The following is a 24,545-nucleotide window of genomic DNA, read 5'->3' on the forward strand; positions in this document are numbered from 1 at the left end:
TTTATTTTAAAGGACAGGGTCTTGCTCTGTCATCCAGGCTGGAGTGCAGTAGGATGATCACAGCTCAATGCAGCCTTGAACTTCTGGGCCGAAGTAGTCCTTCCACGTCAGCTTCATGAGCAGCTGGGACTACAGATATGTGCCACTATGCCCAGCTAAGTGTTTTTTTTTTTTTTAATTTAAATTTTTTTTTGTAGAGACAAGGTCTCATTCTATTGCCTAGGCTGGTCTCAAACTCTTGGGATCAAGCAGTCCTCCTTACTCAGCCTCCCAATGTACTGGTATTATAGGCATGAGCCACCCTGTCCAGTCTAATTAGGGATCTTAATCACATCATTCCCATATAGCATAAGCAAATCATGTGAATAAAATCCCAGAACATCTGCAAGTTCTTCTCACACTCAAAGGGAGAAGGTTATGCAAGAAGTGTCCACCAAGAGATGGGAATCTTGGAACCAATTTAGAATTCTGTCTACTACAGCATTCCTAACAAATAATGTTTACTGATTCCTAGTTTGTACTTTCATACATAATTCTCAGGTGTAGAATATTAGTCCTGGCAGGGATTTTGGAGATTGTTAGCTTGCTGTTCTGGCTCCTTGCTTGCATTTCCTTGTTTCTTTAGCATTTCTTTTTATTTAATAAGTTTTTAGAATAATACACGTAAAACACGGCCCCAGTGATTTCACGTTTGTGTTCTCATTTATTAGAAATGGCTTGGCTGTAGAAACTACTATCAGTGTGAACAGGCAACCTACAGAATGGGAGAAAATTTTTACAATCTGCCCATCTGACAAAGGGCTAATATCCAGAATCTACAAATAACTTAAACAAATTTACAAGAAAAAATCAAAGAACCCCATCAAAAAGTGGGCAAAGGATATGAACAGACTCTTCTCAATAGAAGACATTTATGCAGCCAACAGACACATGAAAAAATGCTCATCATCACTGGCCATCAGAGAAATGCAAATCAAAACCACAATGAGATACCATCTTACACCAGTGAGAATGGCAATTATTAAAAAGTCAGGAAACAACAGGTGCTGGAGAGGATATGCAGAAATAGGAACACTTTTACACTGTTGGTGGGACTGCAAACTAGTTCAACCATTGTGGAAGACAGTGTGGCGATTCCTCAAGGATCTGGAACTAGAAATACCATTTGACCCAGCCATCCCATTACTGGGTATATACACAAAGGATTATAAATCATGGTGCTGTAAAGACACATGCACATGTATATTTATTGCGGCACTATTCACAACAGCAAAGACTTGGAACCAGCCCAAATGTCCAACAATGATAGACTGGATTAAGAAAATGTGGCACATATACACCATGGAATACTATGCAGCCATAAAACAGGAAGAGTTCATGTCCTTTGTAGGGACATCATTGAAGCTGGCAACCATCATTCTGAACAAACTATCACAAGGACAGAATACCAAACACCACATGTTCTCACTCATAGGTGGGAATTGAACAATGAGAACACTTGGACACAGGATGGGGAACATCACACACCGGGTCCTGTCATGGGGTTGCGGGAGTGGGGAGGGATAGCATTAGCAGATATACCTAATGTAAATGATGAGTTAATGGGTGCAGCACACCAACATGGCACATGTATACATATGTAGCAAACCTGCACGTTGTGCACATGTACCCTAGAACTTAATGTATAAAAAAAAAAGAGAGAAATGGCTTGGCTTTCCTTCGGTTTCACTTCAGAACAGCAATACCTAGAGTAAAACATGAGTTATATATTTTATGAATGGTATTAAATAGAGTAAGGTAATATGTTTTAGAGTTCTGATAACATATGTACTTGTTTGATTGCATTTTAGAAAATTAGTAGAAGAAAACAATTCTTCATTTCTAGGACTAAAAATATTTATCTGAGATAATTGAATGATGGGGGTGATTTCCCCCATACTTTTCTCATAGTAGGGAATAAGTCTCACCAGACATGATGGTTTTATAAATAAGAGTTGTTCTTCATAAGCTTTTTTGCCTGCCACCGTGTAATAACACACGATTTTGCTCCTCATTCGCCTTCTGCCATGATTGTGAGGCCTCCCCAGTCATGCAAAACTGTGAGTCCATGAAACCTCTTTTTCTTTATAAATTAACCAGTCTAGGGTATGTCTTTATTAACAGCATGAGAACAGACTAATACACAATATATGATTGAGAAGTGCTAAATGTATACATTTTGAGAACTGAGAGAATTTGCAGTAAAGAAATGATACTTAAATTACAGTAGAACGTAGAAGGAATTCCCCATAGTTTTCGAAAAGGGCAAAAGGGAATAAAAATATTAAGGGAAGAAACAGTAAAAGATACTTTATGTGAGTTGAAATTTTAACTCAGAATATTTGGCATGAAGTTATTTTGCTTGTAGATAACATGATATTGTCATCAATTATATGCGTATATCGAAACCATGGACCATCAAGGAGGTACTTCTATCAAAAATAACTTCAACATGCAAACAGTCAAATATTTGCTTTGGTCTGTCATTTTTCTGGTCTGTTGGCTCTCTGGCTATGAAAACGTGTCTGTCTAGTTGGTTTTTTGAGGTGTAATCTAGCTCCAAAACTTCCAGTTGAGTTTTATTTTCACTGTTCCAACCCACCACCGCTTTATGTAGACGCAGACTTTTTTTTTGTTGTTGTTGTTGGCAAACAGTTTGAGAATAACATGGAATAAGCCCTTTGCTATATCTTAGAGAATTTCCAAGCAAAGTTAAAATTATCTAATATAGTTAAATGGGAAGCATGATTAAACTTTGAGTAATCTTTTCTTTATAAAAAGACTAGATACAACAGCTCCAAGAAATATCTGTAATATTTCAAAAGAAAAACCTGAACTCTACAGCCGACTCTACGTACACACACTCAGAGAAATGAGCAGAATGAAGAACTAAGCAATTTGTGCTTAGTGCATAATTTATTTGATTAGTGTAATGAGCTGGTATGTAAAATTTAGAATAAAATTTTTGTGTTACAATAAGAAAACATAGAAAACAACTTCAGACCTTGAGGCTGGGGATAAGGCTGGCAGCTAAGATTACAAGCTAAGCTATAAACTTGGTCTCTTATTTGTATTTTGTTCCACTTCTAAATAATTGATAATTCGTGAATTATAATAGTTGTTCCTTTAGCTAGCTTTCTAGGGATATTCATCTAAATTGTGTACTCCCCCGCCCCGACACCACCATTATCTAGAAAGTACAGTTTCTTCTACTTCTTACTGAATTGTCTTCAGGGAGACTCCATTTCTGGAATTTATCTTTTGCCAACTATAGCCAAATATTTCATTACAGAATTGATTTTATTTTTTCCTCCATGGACACATCCCATAGATACTACCCACCCAGCATGACATCTGTTAAATTGTTCAATAAATCACTCTCTTACTCAGTTGCCTTGCCACCATTCAGGAGAAACCTGGGGTAATTGATCCTGATGCAGTCTCTCTAGAAGATCTATTTCACCAATCAACAGGGACTTTTCAACTGTCCCACTGAATTCTCCCAGCAGTTCCCAAATGATACATGGAATCATATGCTTTTCCAAGGGGAAAGAAATTTTTGAAAGTTTTAACTTCAGAAGAAAGAAATCTGTGACAAGTTGCTGTAGCCTCTTGTGTACTTTTCTCCAGGCTCTCTTGTACCACTTCAGTATCACTGATTTCCATGTGACTGCTTTCAGCAAGTTTTCATGATCCTTTGCTTATTGTAAATCAAGCATTGATGATCATCCAAGGCTTTATTAGGCCACGAACCGATTTCTATTGGATCTGGCTTTGTGAGCCTAGTCACAGGAGCAAGAACTTCATTTCATGGTTGTCTTAAAAATAATGTTAGGCACATCATCAGTCTTGTTTTTTTTTTTTTTAAGTTTTTTAATTTGAAAGCTAAATTGGTACCATTGACTTAGTGCCTGACCCTTGCATTTTTCAGTAAGTTCTTAAACAGTTGACAGCCAGATTTAAGATCAGAGGTATATTCTAAATGCTTACAAAGGAGTGGAAGAGAGTTGCCAAACTCTATCTCACGCAACATCTGCTCTAACACGTTGTTGGAAGACCGGAAATGCAATTGAGATATTAGAACCTCAAAAAAGGCTAATACTTATTATTGAAGAAGCATCAGTATGACAAGGCATTTATTCATCAAGGTTTCTCGTGTGCTTATTTTCATCTTAATTATGACACAAACCTAAACTTCTTAAGCGTTCTTAAAAAACCACCCCCATCAGCATGCTAAATGAGAGGCAAATCAAAGCAAGACCCTGGGGTTAAGAAAAGAATGTTCAAAGGCTTGTTAAGAATCTTCAATTGAACCATTAACATTATACTATTCTTTTAAAACAATTGGAGTAAAATAAAAATAATGAATCTGAAGCTTGAGCATTACATTTTCCTAACAAGATATAAATTTTTAAAATAAAAGGAAGATTTCTCTTAGATTTGAATGAATCTCAAATGTAGTATAGTTAATTTCATTTATGAGCTGAACATATCATATTGCTGGACTTTAGATATATTAATCTGAATTGGATAACTTTAACATTAAAATGTTATTAGCAGGTATCACTTTTGGGAATTAAGCCTTCTGGACCTTCCCAAACAGAAAACTCATTAAAGTGCATATTAAATTAATAATCTTATTGCGTTATGTAATTCCTGCAGCCATAGTTCAATAAATATTTAAGCCATCCTTAGCTTTAAGAGGGTTTTCTTTAATTGTAGTTTGTATATAATTAGAGCCATTTAAATTTTCTTTAATTTTTTTTTGTATATTTTACAAAGTAATAGAATGTACTTTGCCTTGAATGTAGTATATGTTTTGCTTATATGTTTAGGTTTCATATTATCAGTAATGCAGGAGTTAGAAACATACCTGGAAAATGCTGTAAAATTATGATTTGATCTCCAAAGGGTAGTTCTACATAATGAAGTAGATGCTGGGGCTGAGTTAATTTCTGGGAAAATGTATGCATAAGAAATACTCTTACTATACCAAGAAATATTCTAGCCTCTGTGTAAAGCTGTCAGGGAAGTCTTTGTGGTACACTTATAATTCGCAAACAAACAGATCTGCAAACAAACAGATCCTTGAACACAGACGCTTTTAGAGCAAACTACAGTCTAGGAAACAAATGTGATGCTAACTTTTTGTAAGACTAAGAATGGTTTTGACAGATGAGCATTTGTGATAGGTTTGATAGTAAGGAACTCTAACTTTGAACTCCAGTTAATTGAAATTTTATCTCCCTTATACATAAGTTCCATTCTTCTCATCAGTAGACTTCTATTAGCAAATTTTAAAAAGTTATCAATTTTTGTGATTGCATTTATTTTATTTTATTTTATTTTTTACTGATGCATAATAGATGGACATAGTTTGTGGGTATGTGTGAATAATTTAATACATTTGTATAATTTGTAAAGATAAAAATCAATGTCCTTGCGATATCCATCACCTTAAATATTTGTCCTGAATGTTTCTTTTATAGGTATTTTAAAATAAAAAAGAGAAGAACATTTTATTTATGTATTTATGTATTTATTTATGTATTTATTTATTTATTTATTTATTTATTTATTTATTCTGAGACAGTTTCCCTTCTGTTGCACAGGCTGGGGTACAGTGGCGCAATCTCAGCTCAATGCAACCTCCGACTCCTGGATTCAAGCATTTCTCCTGCCTCAGCCTCCCGAATAGCTGGGATTACAGGCTTCCACCAGCACGCCCGCCCAACTAATTTTGTATTTTTAGTAGAGGTGGGGTTTCACCATGTTGGTCTTGAGCCCCTGACCTTGTGATCTGCCCACCTAGGCCTCCCAAAGTGCTGGGATTTACAGATGTGAGCCATTGCGCCCAGCCAATATTTTTTATTTTTAAATTTAATTTAATTTTACATTCTGGGATACATGTGCAGAATGTGCAGGTTTGTTACACTGGTAAACATGTGTCATAGTGGTTTGCTGCACCTATCAACCCATCACCTAGATATTAAGCCCTGCATGTATTAACTATTTATCCTGATGCTCTCTCCCCCACAACCTCCAATGACAGATCCCAGTGTGTGTTGTTTCCTTCCCTGTGTCCATGTGTTTTCATTGTTCAGTTCCTACTTATAAGTGAGAACATGTGGTGTTTGGTTTTCTGTTCCTGTGTTAGTTTGCTGAGGATAATGGCTTCCAGCTCCATCCATGTACTTGCAAAGGACATGATCTTCTTTCCTTTTACGGCTGCGTAGTATCCCATGGTATTTATGTACCACATTTTCTTTATCCAGTCTATCATTGATGGACATTTGGGTGGATTCCATGTCTTTTCTTTTGTTATACATATATATATATATATATATATAAAACATCTGAATATATATATTCATATACATATATATTTGAATAAATATATATATGAGATTAATTAACTATGGTCACCTTACTGATCTATGTATGACTACATCTTATTTCTTCTATCAAACCATGCATTTATACCCATTAATCAACTTTTCTTTATCACCCCTTCCTCTTACCCTTCCTAGCCTCTGGTAACCACCAATCGACTCTCAATTATTGTGATAGCAGTTGGAATTTCATCAATACGTATTTGTGAAAATGGTTTTATCTTTTGTTTTAGAAGTACCTATATAGCCTTGATTTTGCCTCTTGATTCTCAATCTTAAAATGTTTACCATCTAGCCTTTTGCAGAAATAGTATGCCCACTTCTGTTTTAGAGCAACATGTGAATGTATACTAAAGGACCCCAGTCGGTTAAGAGCAACAACTTTGTATTCAAAGAAGTCTAAATGGAGTTCAGGAACTACCATTTCTGAAATCGACGATCTTGGACAAGTTACTTGCACTCACTAAGCTTTAATTAACTCATCTATAAAGATAAGTCATAGGATTACAATGGAGTTAACAATAATGGCACCTATTTCATAGGGTAACTTTAAATATTAAATTGCCAGGAGCATAGAAAGATACCAAAAATAATTATTTATGGTAGTAAAACAAATATTCAGATGTTTAAGCTGGTTTTATATGGAAAGTCAGCATTTGGCAATCCCGAAGCAAAGTCACAATCACAGAAGGCAAATCTATTCCAAATACTTCAAGTGAGAGTTTGAGGCATGTGCTCTTCCTTTATCAGAGTTTTGTTTATTTGTTTACTTTTTGTTTGTTTTTCCCTTGCTAATGATTAAGGGTTAGATTTAACAAGGCATTATGATCAATTACATTCTGTGATAAGTCACATGTTTGATATATGGATACCTACCAAGCAAGAGGCTTTCTGGAAAGGAGCCCCTCCCGCCCCAAACCTTTGGACCTGATCCAAGGTGTTTTTTTTTTCCAGAAGCTTGATGTCTTCACCTCTACAGACCTAGGAAGTACCAGACAAGTTTGCCCACTGAAGTTGTCCCCATGTCCAATTGCCCAATTGGAATGGATCCGAGTCCTTGACTGTATTAACTAACTTTCACATAAAAAGACTGAGATCCCCTTTCACCTGTATCTCCTGGACGGCCACCTCAACTTATCTCCTGTTGATCTCTGGTCTACATGAAAAAGGGAAGTAACTCTGCACCATTGCTTCATAGCCGACTTCTATGAAGCAAGAGGGATGCCAGGCTTTCCTTTAAAAAATGAAACCTGACACCATTAGCAAGTACCTGGTAAGGATTCTTTTCTAAACGGCCAGAGTACACCTTTGCCCAAGAAAGTCTCCTTAGAGGAGCGGTAGGGAGGAAATCCAGTGGCGATGCCTGGCATGGGAAGTGTCCAGCTGAGAAATGGAGGCTCCCAGAAATGGGCATCTTTTTTTTCTCTCTCTCTTTCTCAAAAAAGCCACAAGGAAGGTTAAGTGGCCCTCTCTTTTATGCAGTGTGACGTTATGTATCCGATAGCCCCAAGGAAGAATTTCAGAGGAGCACGTGCTTGGTCACAGAGTGAAACTTACATAAAACAAGTAATAAAATGGAGTATATTAAGTTATCAATGCTTTAACCTGATGATACTTTAGCATCTAGGAACACTGAATCTTAGCAATAGCAGTGAATACCGAAAGTTTCCATTTGCAATAGCATGACTTTTTGCATATGAAAAATAAAATGAACCAAACAGAATAAATTATCCAGAATATTTCCCATTGGTATTCCGTAACATCACAAGGTATTGTATCTTCTTTAATGTAAAGAAGATTGAAGATGTGGTTGATATGCTTTATGGTGGCTGTATTTTCCCAAGATGAATAACTTGCTTTTTATGAACATTTCAAAAACAGATGAGAGATCTATTTGCATACCTCATTAATGATCCCTTTTTTTAAGTAGGAACATGTTTTCAATTTTATATATCCATAAACATCTCTTTTCATTATGTGAATGAAAAATAATATGTCATCTGCCAGAATTTATTCTTGGCTACCAGTGTTTGAAAAATCTAAATTATGCTAAAGATTTCAACATTTGAAATGAATGAATTACAATAGTGATATTACTCATAATGTGTTGATAGCATATTAGGCTCTTACTTTCTTGCTTTGGTTCTTCTATTTTCATTTCACTTGGCCACCATCCCCTTTCTGTTTTGCTGTTATTTATGCTTTCTAATCTGAAAATGACAGAAATATGATGCTAAGGAAGAATGTTTAATTTTTAGACATTTGATAAAACAGTATTTTCTTTAAAAAATGTATTTGTTATTACAGACAAAGATTTCTCTTAGAGGTGTTTTTTTTCTTTTTCTTTCTTTCTTTTTTTTTTTAATTAATTAATTAATTTTTTTTTTTTTGAGATGGAGTCTCACTGTTACCCAGGCTGGAGTGCAGTGGCATGATCTTGGCTCACCGCAACCTCCTCCTCCCAGGTTCAAGCAATTCTCATGCCTCAGCCTCCTGAGTAGTTGGGATTACAGGTGCGTGCCAACACACCTCTCTATATTTTTGTATATTTTTGTATTTTTATTAGAGACAGGGTTTCACCATGTTGGTCAGGCTAGTCTCAAACTCCTGACCTCACACGATCTGCCTGCCTCAGCCTCCCAAAGTGCTGGGATTACAGGCATGAGCCATTGTGCCTGGCCTAGAGGGCTTCTTTTTCTTATTCTTACTCTTCCTGTTTATGATATAACATGTCACAACTGAGAAAAAACAAATAAACTATTTTTTATGTCTAAGGCACATTCTTCAGCCCACCCACTGCTCCTCAGAATGATAGAACACTAACTACGAATGTTAGTAAACTTAGGTAAAATGTAATTATTTGTGTTCAAAATAACCCTAATATAAATTTCCTGGAGGGAATTGCATGCATGACTTCACTTTTCTCCATTCATTCTAAAGATATTTATTGAGTGTCTGCTATGCATTAGAAACTGTACAAGGCACATAAGTTACCAAAATGAATCAACCAGCTCAGTTCTCATAAATTCAAATGAGATAAATTAAATAATTAGAGGAAGAGTCATATATTATAAAAGTATACACATTAGACCTTGAGAGGACATAAGAGGACAGTGGATTTTATGATCAAGGAAGGCTTCTCAGAAGAGGTGATATATGAACTGAGCTTCCAACAATAAATAGGAGTTAGCCGGGAGAAAAGAGGAATGTCGTTCCTTAAGCAGCATATGTGAAAATTTGGATAGCCAGACTGCTTTTAGGACTTTATATACTAAGTAATAAGAGAGAAGCCTGAAAGCGTAGGTTGGAAACTAGAGAGTTTGTATTCATGTGGAATTAAGAACTTTGAAGAAGTTTAAGAGGGAAATAACTATAGGGAAAAATGAAATTTTCATTTTCTTAGATAAGTGCCATGCAGATAAAACCTTTCCCATGTGTAAGCCCAGACGTTGGCTTGTCTTTCACCTTTTTGTGGAAGTTTCTTTTCCCCACACACAGTAGTTTTCAATTTTAAGATAAACATATTTGTGAGAACTTTTATTTTTGGCTTATTTACATCCTTAATATTTTATTTTATGAAATCTGGATATGATTATAGAATTTAATATGTACAAGCTCCTACTTCAGTTCCCTTGTAAAATAAAGATACTTGGGCATAGAGAGTTAAGTGACTTGGTTCTTTGATTGCCTTTTTAGTGGTTAAACAGCACTAGAAGCCAGAATTTTTCATGTTCTTAGGTAAGTGTTCAGTGCAATTGAACACAGGGACCTTTTCCTGGACTACTTTTCCACTTCCAAGATCACAGTGAATATTCTAATAAGGTATTTAAACAAACAATCACAGTTGTAAACATACAAGTCCAAATTGGAATGATTTTAGGTATTAGTTTGTTAAACATGCAGTCTGTGCCAAAAAGCACACTAATTGTTCAGCTGCTCAGAAAGAACCTGTCAAATCATTAGAGGTGGTCATCAGTCAGATGATATCTCTTTTCCAAGTGGCAGCTGTTCCTGTCTGGAGTGTAGAAAATCACCATGAAAGTATGCTGTGGATTAACCATCTCATCTGCCTGTGCTATTAGAAGAAACTTGGGAATTTTCTTTATAAATCTGTCGTTTTTCTTACAGATTTCTCTCAGTAGCTACACCTTTTTAATCATTATAAATTTCAACAGACATTTTCTATCAAAAAACATAGTATCATTGAAGGAATGGAAACTGTATCTAATTCTAATACACAAAAATATTTACATCTGTATTTATTTACTAGCAATTCGTGAAGTGGAATATCAGGCTAATTCTGAAACATTCTGCTGAAAGTTTATCCAAATAGAGAAAGTATTATATTACTTTTGAAGAGTCAGAAAAAAATATTATAATGCTAGACCACTTAGCTTATTAGAGGAGGATAAATCCAAACAATAAATTATATCATCAATCTTAACTGGAGAAATGTAGTGACACTGAGGGGAAGGGGAGTGAAATTCCTTTTCATTTATTCATCTTTTCAAAATTTCTCACTCCCACCTAGCCTCATTTTCTTTTCCCTTCCCTCCCTTCCTTTCTGATATGGTTTGGCTCTGTGTCCCCACCCAAATCTCATCTTGTAGCTCCTATAATTCCCACGTGTGTCGGGGAGGGATCCAGTGGGAGATTATTGAATCATGGGGGCGGGTCTTTCCCGTGCAGTTCCTGTGATAGTGAATGGGTTTCGTGAGATCTAATGGTTTTAAAAAATGGGAGTTTCTCTGCGCAAGCTCTCTCTTTGCTGCTATCCATGTAAGACATGACTTCCTTGCCTTCCACCATAGTTATGAGGCTTCTCCAGCCACATGGAACTGGAAGTCTAATTAAACCTGTCTTTTGTAAATTGCCCAGTCTTGGGTATGTCTTTATCAACAGTGTGAAAACAGACTAATACACCTTTCCTCTTTTCCCCTCCCCTCTCCTCCCCTGTCTTTTGCTTCTTCCCTTCCCTTGTCTTTTTTTTTTTTTTTACATTAGACTTCTTTTGAAAACTGCAATAAGGAATTGCTGTTCCATCTAGCCCCAGCTCTCCATTACTGTTTCCTTTCTCTCACTCCCCACCTCAGGATCCTGAAGTTGATGTGTATCTTTGTCATTCACTTCTCGTGTGATTTTTGTGAGATATGCATATGCCCAAGACAGCATACGTGTGCACTTTTCCAAAGCAAATTTATTATTGTTTATGTATGTTTTATGTTCATAAATGGTGTGATGCTGTTTTGTTCTGTATTTTCTCTTTAACTCAGCATTATGTGTTTTAGATTTATTATTAATGCAGATTTTGTTCATTTATGTTTGTGTATGTGTGTATTTATATATGCATTTATATATTTCTGTATCCAATGACTATCTACTATCTTGTGCACACATGATAGTTTCTACTTGGGGACAACCTAGCCAGAGCTAGCTCATGAGGCATTTTTATGAGAAATGATAGGTACCCATATTGGGTATATAAAACCCCATATCAGTGTACATGACTTGATGGACACAGAAAAAAATGAGTTGGGCCCCTCACTTACTCCTTGCCTAAGCCCTCTTTTCCAGGACACACTTTGATGGCACCAATACATCCTAGAATTAGAATCACTGGATCCTTGGGGATATATGACTATAACTTTACTTGGTATTAGCAAATTTCTCTCCAGCATGTTTGTATCAGTTATCAACTTCTCAGTAGAGTTTAACAACTTGCAATTTCCCACATCCTTTCCAAACCTGTGTATTGTTAGATATTTTCTATTTGTTTCTCTATTTGATGGATGTGAAGAGGTACATTATAGTTTCCATAATATAATCAGTTCTAAGACATTTATAAAGGTCGGACTTTTTCCATGATGCCCAGACTTTGGCTTGCCTTTCACCTTTTTATCAGAGTTTCCCCCCTACACACAGTTTTCAGTTTTAATTTTAAGACATATTTGCAAGAGCTGTTATCTACAACTTATATTTATTATACATCTTAAGCTTAATCATGTGATGGCTGGAGAATGTGACAATTCTGGGAATCTGCATAGGAGTGGTAGCTACCTACGAGTTACTGTCCCATGTTAGACACCACATTCTACTCTAGTCTCTCAAACTGCATTAGTACATAAGGCTTTAAAATGATATCAATGCCTGTGGTTGTCATTTTTGGTTCAAGACAATTGCATCAATAGTGATAAAATATCGAGCTAGATACTTGGGGAAAAATAAAACATTCCAAAGCCAAGTTAAGTAAACAGATGAATAAAAGATTTAATGGTAAAATCATTTTACCATTTAACAGTAATAAAACCCATTATGAAGATGCTGAAGGAAGATATAGGTGAATATTTTTGTAATCTTTGGGGTTCAAAAATGTTTATTAAATTTTAATGTAACTGGCCAGGCACAGTGGTTCATGCCTATAATTCTAGCACTTTGTGAGGGCAAGGCACCTGGATCACCTGAGTCTGGGAGTTCAAGACCAGCCTGGACAACATGGTGAAACCCCATCTCTACTAAAAATACAAAAATTAGCCAGGCGTGATGGCAAGTGCCTGTAATCCTGTTACTTGGGAGGCTGAGGCAGGAGAATTGCTTGTACCCGGGAGGTGCAGGTTGCAGTGAGCCCAGATTGTGCCACTGCACTCCAGACTTAGTGAAAGAGCGAGGCTCTATCTCAAAAAAAAAAAAAAAAAAAAAAAAAGAAAGAAAAAAACCCAAAAAACAAAAAATTTTATGTAACTTGCAGGTCATAAATAAATCGTGATTACATTTGAATACCTAAGGGAAACATTTCGTGTGGCAAAGCACTGTAAGATATGAATACAACAATGAAAGTAAAGAGAAATCTAAGAAAAAGATAAGACATGTCTTTGAAACAAATGTGGCACACAAAGCATTTCTATTTTCATTAAATAAAAAATTTAGAAACCACAAGAAAATAATTACATATTAATAGAAATGTTAATAATGCATACAAACAAGTTACTATTAAAGAGCTGTTAATACTCAAATAACTGGTCTTCTAGTAATTGCGAATAAAAACTGAGGTGTTAATATTATGCCTACTAGATTGGATAAAAATCAGGATTTATCAGATTAAACAAGATTAGTTATTTAAAATATGATAGTTAAAAAGGTAGTTTTATAAAGCTTGAAATACAACTTATATGGTAAACATTCAATTGGTGATACTTATGCAATTATAGCACTGCTTGGGGATATGGAGAAAACAGCACTCATATATTCACTGAGGAGGTTTAAATTAGTATAGTCGGTGTTTCAAAAATATACTCTGACTGCAGTATATAATTGTTTGGTAAAATTAAGTGTAAGGTTAAATGTATTAAAAACTTTCATCAAATCAGTGTTTATACCAGCCGCAAATTGGAAAGAGCTTAAATAATCACATTAGAGAATTTGATTACATTAATTGTTGTGTATCAAGATAAGCAAACACTATGATCCCTTACAAATCACACATTTGTAAGTGGGAAACACTGCTAACAAGGGTTTAGACTGTACCATAATTTTTTTTTTTTTTTTTGAAACACGGTCTCAATCTGTCATCCAGTCTGGAGTGCAGTGGCGCAATCTTAGATCACTGCAACCTCAACCTCCTGGGATGAAGTGATTCTCATGCTTCAGCCTCCCAAGTAGCTGGGACTGCAGGCACACACCATCAAGCCCCACTGATTTTTGTATTTTTAGTAGAGAGGGGTTTTCGCCATGTTGGCCAGGCTGGTCTCGAGCTCCTGACCTCAAGCGATCCGCCTGCCTTGGCTTCCCAAAGTGCTGGGATTACAGGTGTGAGCCACCCCATCAGGGCTGTAATGTAATATTTGTGAGATAATGTATTATATTTCATAACTATTTAAATATATTAATATTACTAGTTTATATTATACAGTTTATAATAGATGAACTATGTATGTATATTTAAATAAGTTAATACATATGTGTATGTGCATATGTACATACATAATCTTTTCCATTGAGCAAGCTTGACCTAGTAAAATTCATAAAGAAAGCTGCTTTGTTTTTCTCAGACCAGTGCTTCAATCACAGTCTATCAGATCCTCATTGGCTTTGGATGATATTTTTGACAAATCCCATATGCATCAGTCTGGGTCACATCAGGAAACAGATGGCGCAGTCAGCATTGAAATATAAAGGAGTTTAATAAGGTGGTGTTTACAGAGATAATGGTAAGATCAAGGAAACTGAGAAGAAATCCTGAAGCACCCAGGGACTCCCGACAGTGGGAGCTAATGCGCTGTAGCCCTGCAGAGGTAGGGTTAGAGAGCTGAAACTGTAGCTGGGGGACCCCACAGGGATGGTCCCCATGGGTAAGAAACACAGGCACTAGCCAGCTATACCCGTGGTATAAGTTTAGGTGAAATAAATACCTTGACTGTCCTTTCCTCCCTGTCTCTACTGCTCTGCTGCTACCTCATTGGCTGGGTATAATCAGAAGCTGAAGACATGGGAGCCCAGGTCATGCAGTGTGTGGAGTTCACTCTTCTGGGCAAGGAGCAGGAAGAAAAGTGCAAAAAATGCATTAGATGTGCAAACGGAGTGACCGGTACAGTACAGCTTCTTGGTGAATTTTAGGCCTTCAGTTATCTCATTTTCAAGTTTCAACGTTCAGCCAAGTTTATACAAAAATGTGAATCTCACATTTAGCTTAAAATGACTCCCTTTCCACCCCACGGCATTCAGGCCGCCCTGAACTCCGTATTGTACAGCCTTTTTCTCTCCTCCCCTGCCCATCGTTTTGCCTGTGGCTTCTCCAGGACAGAGGCAGGTCTTGTGGGATGTGAATGAGAGTTAAGAGGACATTGACCTTTATACTCAGTTAGTGTTGTTTCTTGCTCTAGAGCAACTGAAAAATACTTCTCATCACGGCAAGCATCCAGAATGATCAATCATTTATGGGCTACTTAGTAGGATAGTTACGGACCATCACCTGGTAAACCATATCCTTGACATGATCCATGCCCTCTTCTCCTGCTGTTTGGAGACATCTTTCAGCTTCTGTCCTTTGGTGATGTCAGGATATTAGTGTCTGCATAGGTCACCTGTCTGAGTTACCTTTCCACTAATTTATAGCTTTGTATGTTGTAGAAAACGGGTAGGAAAGCATGTGATTCATTTCTACAGTAATGGAAATTGTGTCTGGTAGAATGCAATTGATTATTGCTCTATGGATTCTTGCCAGCTTTGCATTTGCGTAATAGATGCAAAACTGGCAAGAATCCATTTTTTCATAAAGAGGACAACAGAAATACTGCAGTACTGTTCATATTATACCTTAGACATTCTACAGTATAATTTGCATCTATTACGCAAATTATAATTTCAACGTTCCTGGTGGGCTTTTATATTTGTCTGTCCTTTGGATTCCTTTCATGACCTTTTACTGATTCTATCATGAGCAAATGAGATAAAAACTTTGATTATGTGTTTGTTTTGTAAGAGAGTCATGATGTCATCTTTTTTTTGTTTTTCTTTAAATGCTGTTTAACAGTATAGCATAACTCTTGACTTCTAGTATCTACTTGTTCCAGCAGGTAGGGTTCTTCCTGGATGACTTAGCCATATCTGACTGCTTTCTTCTGGTCGATGGGAATTCATGAGCCCTTGGCCCACTTTGCTACCACTCCTATACTCTTGTCTCATTCCTCTGTTCAGTATAGCTCCAGACAGGCTTGGGTCAAGGAGGAAGCTTTATTTAGTTTGAAGGCACACTCAATTTCTCAAGCCCTATGTTTTGTTTTTCATTTGGAGCCTTTTTGCTTGGCTTAAAAGGAGATTAGGAGAATAACTATTCTCCCTTTTTTTCATAAAGAGGACAACAGAAATACTGCAGTACTGTTCATATTATACCTTAGACATTCTACAGTCATCTCCATCTTAGACCCCTGATTCAATTGTTTCATCTTCCCTTTCATTTTCAGAGCCAGTTAGCTGTTGTTGTGGATTGAATTTCCTGGAAAGCAGGCTCTGAGATGAAGAGTAGTATGCTAACTGATTGGAATTGCTTTTAACTTAAGTGATGAAGTGAAGAAAGCAGGATTTGGGAAAGAGAGAGGTCTAGCTGTGATACAGTGTCTGTAAAGGCCTTAACAGCTCTTGTGGAAAGCTCTGAGGCTGGGAAGGCCTTTTAGAGTTTTCCTAATTTGATTAAAGAAGGCTGGTCCTTTTAAGTTCTTTATCATTCAGTTAATGGATGTACACCGCCCCTTGGAAGGGGCGGTGTGACATTGGAAGTGGTAGCTCTCTTTAGCTAAGAACAAGTTGTGTGGGAGGCACTCTAGCTGCTAAAAGTCAGAAGTTGGGAAAATGAGTGTTTTGTCGTCGAGTGGGTAGGCCCACGAATGACAATACAGCTATCTTTTATCATGTATACCATTATAGAACATTTTGATGTATTTTTTATTTTTTTAACTTTTTTTTTTTTAGGTTCAGGGGGACATGTGCAGGTTTTTTATGTATGCAAATTCATGTCCTTGGGATTTGTCGTACAGATTATTTCATCACCGAGTAGTAAGCCTAGCACCCAATAGTTTTTTATTTTTTTAATCGTCTCCCTCCTCCCAACCTCCACCCTCAAATAGGCCACGGTGTGTCTGTTGTTACCTCTTTGTGTCCTTGTGTTTTCAACATTTAGCTCCCATTTATAAGTGAGAAGAAGCAGTATTCGGTTTTCTATTCCTGTGTTAGTTTGCAAAGGATAATGGCCTGCAGCTACATCCATGTTTCCACAAAGGACATGATCTCGTTCCTTTTTATGGCTGCATAGTATTCCATGGTGTATATATACCACATTTTCTTTATGCAATCTGTCATTGATGGGCATTTAGGTTGATTCCACGTATTTGCAATTTTGAGTAGTGCTGCAATGAACATACACATACATGCATCTTTATGGTAGAATGACTTATATTCTTTTGGGTATATAGCCAGTAGCAAGACTGCTGGGTGGAATGGTAGTTCTGTTTTTAGGTCTTTGAGAAATTGTCAGACTGTTTTTCACAATGGTTGGACTAATTTATTATCCAAACAATGGTATATAAGCATTGCCTTTTCTGTGCAACCTTGCCAGCATCTGTTATGCTTTGACTTGTTAATGATAGACATTCTGACTGGTGTAAGATGGTATCTCATTGTAGTTTTGTTTTGCATTTCACTAATGATAAGTGATATTGATATTTCTTCCATATGCATTGTTGGCTACATGTATGTCTTCTTTTGAAAAGTGTCTACTCATGTTCTTTGCCCACTTTTTAATGGGGTTGTTTGTTTGTTTTCATATAAATTTGTTTAAGTTCCTTATAGATGGCAGGATATTAGACCATTGTCAGAGGCATAGTTTGCAAATGTTTTCTCCCATTCTGTGGATTGTCTGTTTACTCTGCTGATAGTATCTTTTACTGTGCAGAAGCTCTTAAGTTTAATTAGAACCCATCTATCAATTTGCTTTTGTTGTAATTGCTTTCGGCGTATTTGCCATGAAATCTTTGCCAGTTTCTGTGTCCAGAATGGTATTGCCTAGGCTGTCTTCCAAAGTTTTTATAGTTTGGGGTTTCACAGTTATGTCTTTAATCCATCTTGAGTTGATTTTTTTATATGGTGTAAGGAAGGGGCCCAGTTTCAATCTTCTGCATATGGCTAGTCAGTTACCCCAGCATCATTTATTGAATGGGGAGTGTTTTCTTCATTGCTTGTTTTTGTCAGCTGTGCCGAAGATCAGATGACTATAAGCGTGTGGCCGTTTCTGGGCTTTCTATTCTATTTCATTGGTCTATTCTTCTGTTTTTGTACTAGTAACATACTGTTTTGGTTACTGTAGCCCTGTAGTATAGTTTGAAGTCAGGTGATGTGATGTCTCCAGTTTTGCTAGGATTGCTTTGGCTATTCGGGCTCTTTTTTGTTTGTTTGTTTGTTTCCATATGAATTTCAAAATAGTTTTTTCTAGTTCTGTGAAGAGTGTCATTGATAGCTGGATAGGAACAGCATTGAATCTACAAATTGCACTAAACAGTGTGACCATTTTAATGATATTGATTCTTCCTATACATGAGCATGGAATGCTTTTCCAATTGTTTGTGTTACCTCTGAATTATTTGCAGATACATTCACAGCTGAATTCTACCAGATGTACAAAGAGCAGCTGGTACCATTCCTACTGAAACTATTCCAGGAAATGGAGGGGGAGAGACTCTTCTCTACCTCATTCTATGAGGCCAGCATAATCCTGATACCAAAACCTGGCAGATAGAACAAAAACAGAAAACCTCAGGCCAATATCCTTAATAAACACGAATGCAAAAAATCATCAACGAAATACTAGCAAACCAAAGCCAGCAGCACTTCAAAAAGCTAATCCACTATGATCAAGTAGACTTCATCCCCACGATGTAAGTTTGGCTCACAACATGCAAATTAATAAGTGTGATTCATCACGTAAATAGAACTGAGGACAAAAGCCACATGATTACCTCAATAGTTACAGAAAGGGATTTCAATAAAATTCAACAACCATTCAGGTTAAAAACTCTCAATAAACTAGATATTGAAGGAACCTACCTCAAAATAATAAGAGCCATCTATGATAAACCGACAGTCAACATCATACTGAATGGGCAAAAGCTCTGTCCCTTGAAAAATGACACAAAATAAGGATGTCCTCTCTCACCACTCCTATTTAACATAGTATTGATAGTCCTGGCCGAGCAATCAGGCAAGAGAAAGAAATAAAGGGCATCCACATAGGAAGACAGGAAATCAAATTATCCGTGTTTGCAGATGACATGATCCTACATCTAGAAAACCCCATATTCTTGGCCGAAAAGCTCCTTAAGTTGATAAACAACTTCAACAAAGTCTCAGGATATGAAATCAATGTGCAAAAATCACTAAGAGTCCTATACGCCAAGCCAAGAGTCAAATAAGGAATAAACTTTCATTCACAGTTGACACAAAAAGAAAAAATATGTAGGAGTACAGCTAACTAAGGAGGTGAAAGGTCTCTGCAAGGAGAATTACAAACCATTGCTCAAAGAATTCTATTTTAAATTTAATAAGAATTATAAATAAATTTTATTCTTAAACCTAAAATTTAAAAATAACATTGCAATTTGGTATCTGCTATTGTTGTTAATCTTAGGATTTTTTTCTATACTACAAAATTACTCATTCAAAGTAATATATGTGTGAGAATATAGGCTATTAGAACATTTATTTATTAGCTCATTCAGTTGATATGTACTATGCTATAGGTACTTGACTAGACTGGGGATGTAGAGATGAAGACACACAACTTTCCCTATAATATGGTGAAGTAGAGTGCCAAGAACAGACATTTAAACCAAATATGGGGTAAACACCATAACACACTCTTTGTTCTGCCCTGATTAGCCTGGGCCTTTTGTGGTGCAAGTGGCTTCTGTTGTGTAGGTAGAGGCAGTCTAAAGCTCCTTGGCTCTTGAGCAAGAATGTTAGGGTTTGAATCTTCCCTGCTGCTTTCAGATGTGTAATATTGGGTAAGTTTCATAATTCCTCTTATCTCCTCATGTATAAAATGTGGGTAATATACCCTTGTAAAAATAATGATATTGAACTTAAGGAGTTTAACACAATTCATAAATTAGGTTAAGAACTCATAACAAGCTGACATTAATAGCAATTATTATTGCTAAACTCTAGCTTTCTTTTTCTCTGCTATCTTACATTTAATCTGTTAATGTGCCTCCTTCTGTCTCTACTTAATGCTAGTGTTGTAAAAAAATTTCTTATGAATTTTAAAATACTTTTTCTAATTCTCTGAAGAATGTCATTGACAGATTGATAGGAATAACATTTAATCTATAAATTGCTAGGGGCAGTATGGCCATTTTAATGATATTGATTTTTCCTATCCATAAGAATAGGATGTTTTTTCATTTGTGTCATCTGATTTTTTTTCAGCAGTGTTTTGTAGTTCTCATTATACAGATCTCTCACCTCCCAGGTGAGTTGTATTCTTAGGTATTTTATTCTTTTTGTGGCAGTTGTGAATGGGATTCCATTCCTGTTTTGGCTCTTGGCTTGACTGTTGTTGTTGTATAGTAATGCTGAAAATTTTTGTACATTGATGTTTTTCTCTTGAAACTTTGCTGAAGTTGTTTATCAGTTTAAAGAGCTTTTGGGCCAAGACTATCTGATTTTCTAGACATAGAATCATGTAATCTGCAAACAGGGAGAGTTTGACTTCCTCTCTTCCTATTTGATGCACTTTATTTCATTCTCTTGCGTCATTGCTCTGGCCAGGACTTTCAATACTCTGTTTAATGTGAATGGTGAGAGAGAACATGCTTATCTTTTGCTGGTTTTCAGGGAAAATGCTTCCAGGTTTTGCCCATTCAGTATGATGTTGGCTGTATGTTTGTCATACATGGCTCTTAATATTTTGAGGTGTGTTCCTTCCATACCTAGTTTATTGTGAGTTTTTAACATGAAAATATGTTGAATTTAATCAGTAGCCTTCTATGCATCTATTGTAATAATCCTGTGATTTTTGTATTTAGTTTTGTTTATGTGATGAATTACATTTATTGATTTGCGTTTCTTGAACCAACCTTGCATCCTGGGGATACAGCCTACTTGATCATGGTGGATTAGCTTTTTGATGTGCTGCTGTATGTCATTCGCAAGTATTTTGTTGAGAACATTTTCATTAATGTTCACCAAGGATATTGGCCTGAATTTTTTTTGTTGTTATTGTTGTGTCTGTGACAGGTTTTGGTATCAGGATGATGATGGCCTTATAGAATGAACTGGGGAGGAGCCCCCCTCTTTAATTTTTTGGAATAGTTTCCATAGGAATCATGCCATCTCTTCTTTGTACACGTGATGGAATTCAGCTGTAAATTCATCTGGGCCTGGGTTTTTCTTCAGTTGGTAGGCTATTTATTACTGATTCAGTTTCAGAGCTTGTTACTGGTTTGTTCAGGGAATGAATTTCTTCCTGGTTAAGTCTTAGGAGGATGTATATGTTTAGAAATGTATTCATCTTTTCCAGATTTTCTAATTTGTTTGGATAGAGGTTTTCATAGTAGTCTCTGATGGTTATTTGTATTTCCGTTGGGTCAGTGATAACATCCCTGTTGTTGTTTCTAGTTCGAACACTTTGATTTAAATGTGGAGGCACTTAGCCTATGCTCTAATCATCATTCCACTTTAACAAGAATTTTAATAGTCCCTGTTTTATGAAGTACATATATACATACTTGTGTATGTGTACAATAATCTTTCAATGCATATAAAATATATGAAAAGATAGTAATTAAAATACTAAAAGTTGGAACCTCTAGGTGAAAAGATTTTAGGATTTTTTCATTTTTTACATATTAAATATTTTGAATTTCCTAAATTAAAAATTCAGGAAGTAAAGTTCTGAATTAAAAACAAGTGAGCAAATAGCAACGACAACAAAAAAAACAGCATCTCATTTAGTTCATGATAGAATTTATTAAAGATGATTTGGCAACCCTTGGCTTTCAGAATGAAGACTTCACCACTACCACGCCTGGGCAAAGATACCAAAAGTTACATTGCTGACGCTGGGCATAGGATACTATGACTACTGCCAAAGTTTTGATGACTGTATGATCACATTTGCCCAAAAACGAATTCCATGTGGACACTCACTTACCAATCAGTTTTGTATGGGTGTATCTAATCCACAAGGTCTGTGTCACCTTCAGGAATTATAAATTAGGGAAATCTCCAAAATAGAAAATGTATTAGAAAGATGTTGAGTAGACAGAAAACATGGCAATTGACCATTACCATGTATAGCCCTAATATAAATAGAAAAAAATAAAGTTTTATTTATTTGACAAATTTCTTGACTTCTGACCTCCTTTGCACAAACCTATTGTTTATGCTTTGAAAGTAATTTTTAAAAATAAAGTTGGAATACGAATTACCTAGTTGAACTATGAATCAGCTAGTAAAACTAGCTTGTGTTCACAGTGTTGCTGCTTCTTCTAAGGTGTACTTTTCCTTATTTGTAAAATAGAAGCAATGATACCTGTTTTGCCGGCTTATTGTTTGTATCCTACAAAATTATTTTTAAATGGTTAACTTGTAGTAGACATTATGTAAACAGTAATTGAGTATTGTTAATATTACTGGTATCATTCTTGTCATTGTTGTATTAACATGAATAGAGCAGGGGTCACAAGATTTTTAGGCTGATTATTTCTCCTGAGATTTTTGGTAATTTATGCCATTTTTTTAAGGAAAATAAATAATATTGACAATTTTTCTATTGGCTAGAAAAATTGTGGCTATTCCCAATATAAATAGAAAAAAAAAGTAAATGTAAGTTGTCCTGTCAGACCCTGTGCATACAGAATATATACCACTTTTCTCATGAGCCACACTGTTCTTTAGCTTCTTGGGAAATGTATGATATTATATATTTTTCTTGTCACTGGTTTTCCTCTTCTTTGTTCATGATATATTTACTTGTAGTTATTGCTGCAATAATCGTGAACATTCTTTTTTCTGAACAAGGGAAACTCAGTAATGAAGCTCTTGGTTTGTAGTTAGAAAGAGGATAATACTGTGGTATAAATTTATAGGTGAATTAAATATTTATTTCATTCTTAGAAATAAAATTTCTAAAGATCACTTGACCATGAAAATATTCTAGGGCAGCTTTCTGGTACAGAGCATTCTTCTATTTATTATTTTAATTAAAGATGTCTTACTGTATTTCACTCAGAAGTCTGTCTTCATCAGTTAGTTTTATAGTAAAGATGACATATTTGAGATGTATCTTTACTTGAAATATTTTTGTATAATTTATGTAAATTATATTTGGCAGTAGCTAAGATAAACAAAAAGGGACTTTAAACATCAAGAATTATATCTAATTTTCAAAAATGATAACATATAACATAATGCAATATAACTATGTGATTTTTTTTCTCTTTTAACTACACTGTAAACTTCAGGAAGACAGGTGTCACTTTTCTTTCCATTCTACCCTAGTCTAGCACAAGAAAAAGTATAATAGCTAACTTTAAAAAATGTTTTGGAATCCAGAATTAATAATTTTGCAAGACTATGGGAAATCATTATAGATGTTATTAAAAGCATTTTAATATATTTTACTCTCATACTCTAAAGAAACTTTGCCAGCTATAATTTGCTACCGGAAGGTGAAGAAGGATTGAAAATATAGGAAATATACTGAAATTAAATAAGAAAGTGGCTCCTTCACACAACATGCTGATGGAACTGGCATATATCAGATGCCTGGGTGTAGTAAAAAAATTTAAAAAATGAAAAAAAGCGGCGTTCTTTGGCCTGACATGGCTCTAAGGATTCAGAGAAAGCATAGAACCTGCAGCTTCAACAGCACGGAAGCAGAGGAGTGGAGGATACCTTCAACATCCCTGACCTTTTATTGTGCTGCCCAAGGAACTGGTTTCTGTCCTGCCTCACTTGTAGCACTGAAGAAATTCCCACAGTTTGGAGGGTCAGCTAACAGGAAAGGAAAATGAGCAGGTGGCTTGAAGTACCCGGCGCATCTCAATGAGATTGGGATAAGCTAGAAAACTCAAAGCATCTCCATAGGGAAGGAGGAAGAGAAGTAGACTGTGCCATTAGCATCACAGTCTGCAGTACATCAACATCTGCGTTACAACAGCCAGAGAGCAAGAGATTATGGACTCATGAAAAAAAAAAAAAAAGGAAAACCAATAAATCTCATCTTAAAATGACATGCATAAGTCCAGAGAAGAAACATCTGTATAAAATATTTGAGAGCTTCCCAGAATCTCAAATTAGAGTGTTTGGCAAAACTCTATCTGTGTCAAAGCCAGTTGGTAAATGTAACAGAGAGTTACTTGTTTCTTCAAATGCCGAGATGGCAAAATATGCAAGAAACATAATCAGTTAAACATGACCGAATGAAGAGAACAACATAAATATTATATAACAGATTCAAAGCAATAGAGATTTATGAATTGCCTAAACAAGTTTTCAATATACTTATAAAGAATTTCAATGAGCTGCTAGAGAATACACATAAATAACTAAATGAAATCAAGAACACAA

Source organism: Homo sapiens, chromosome 8 (genome assembly GCF_000001405.40).
Source record: "Homo sapiens chromosome 8, GRCh38.p14 Primary Assembly".
Lineage (NCBI taxonomy): Eukaryota > Metazoa > Chordata > Mammalia > Primates > Hominidae > Homo > Homo sapiens.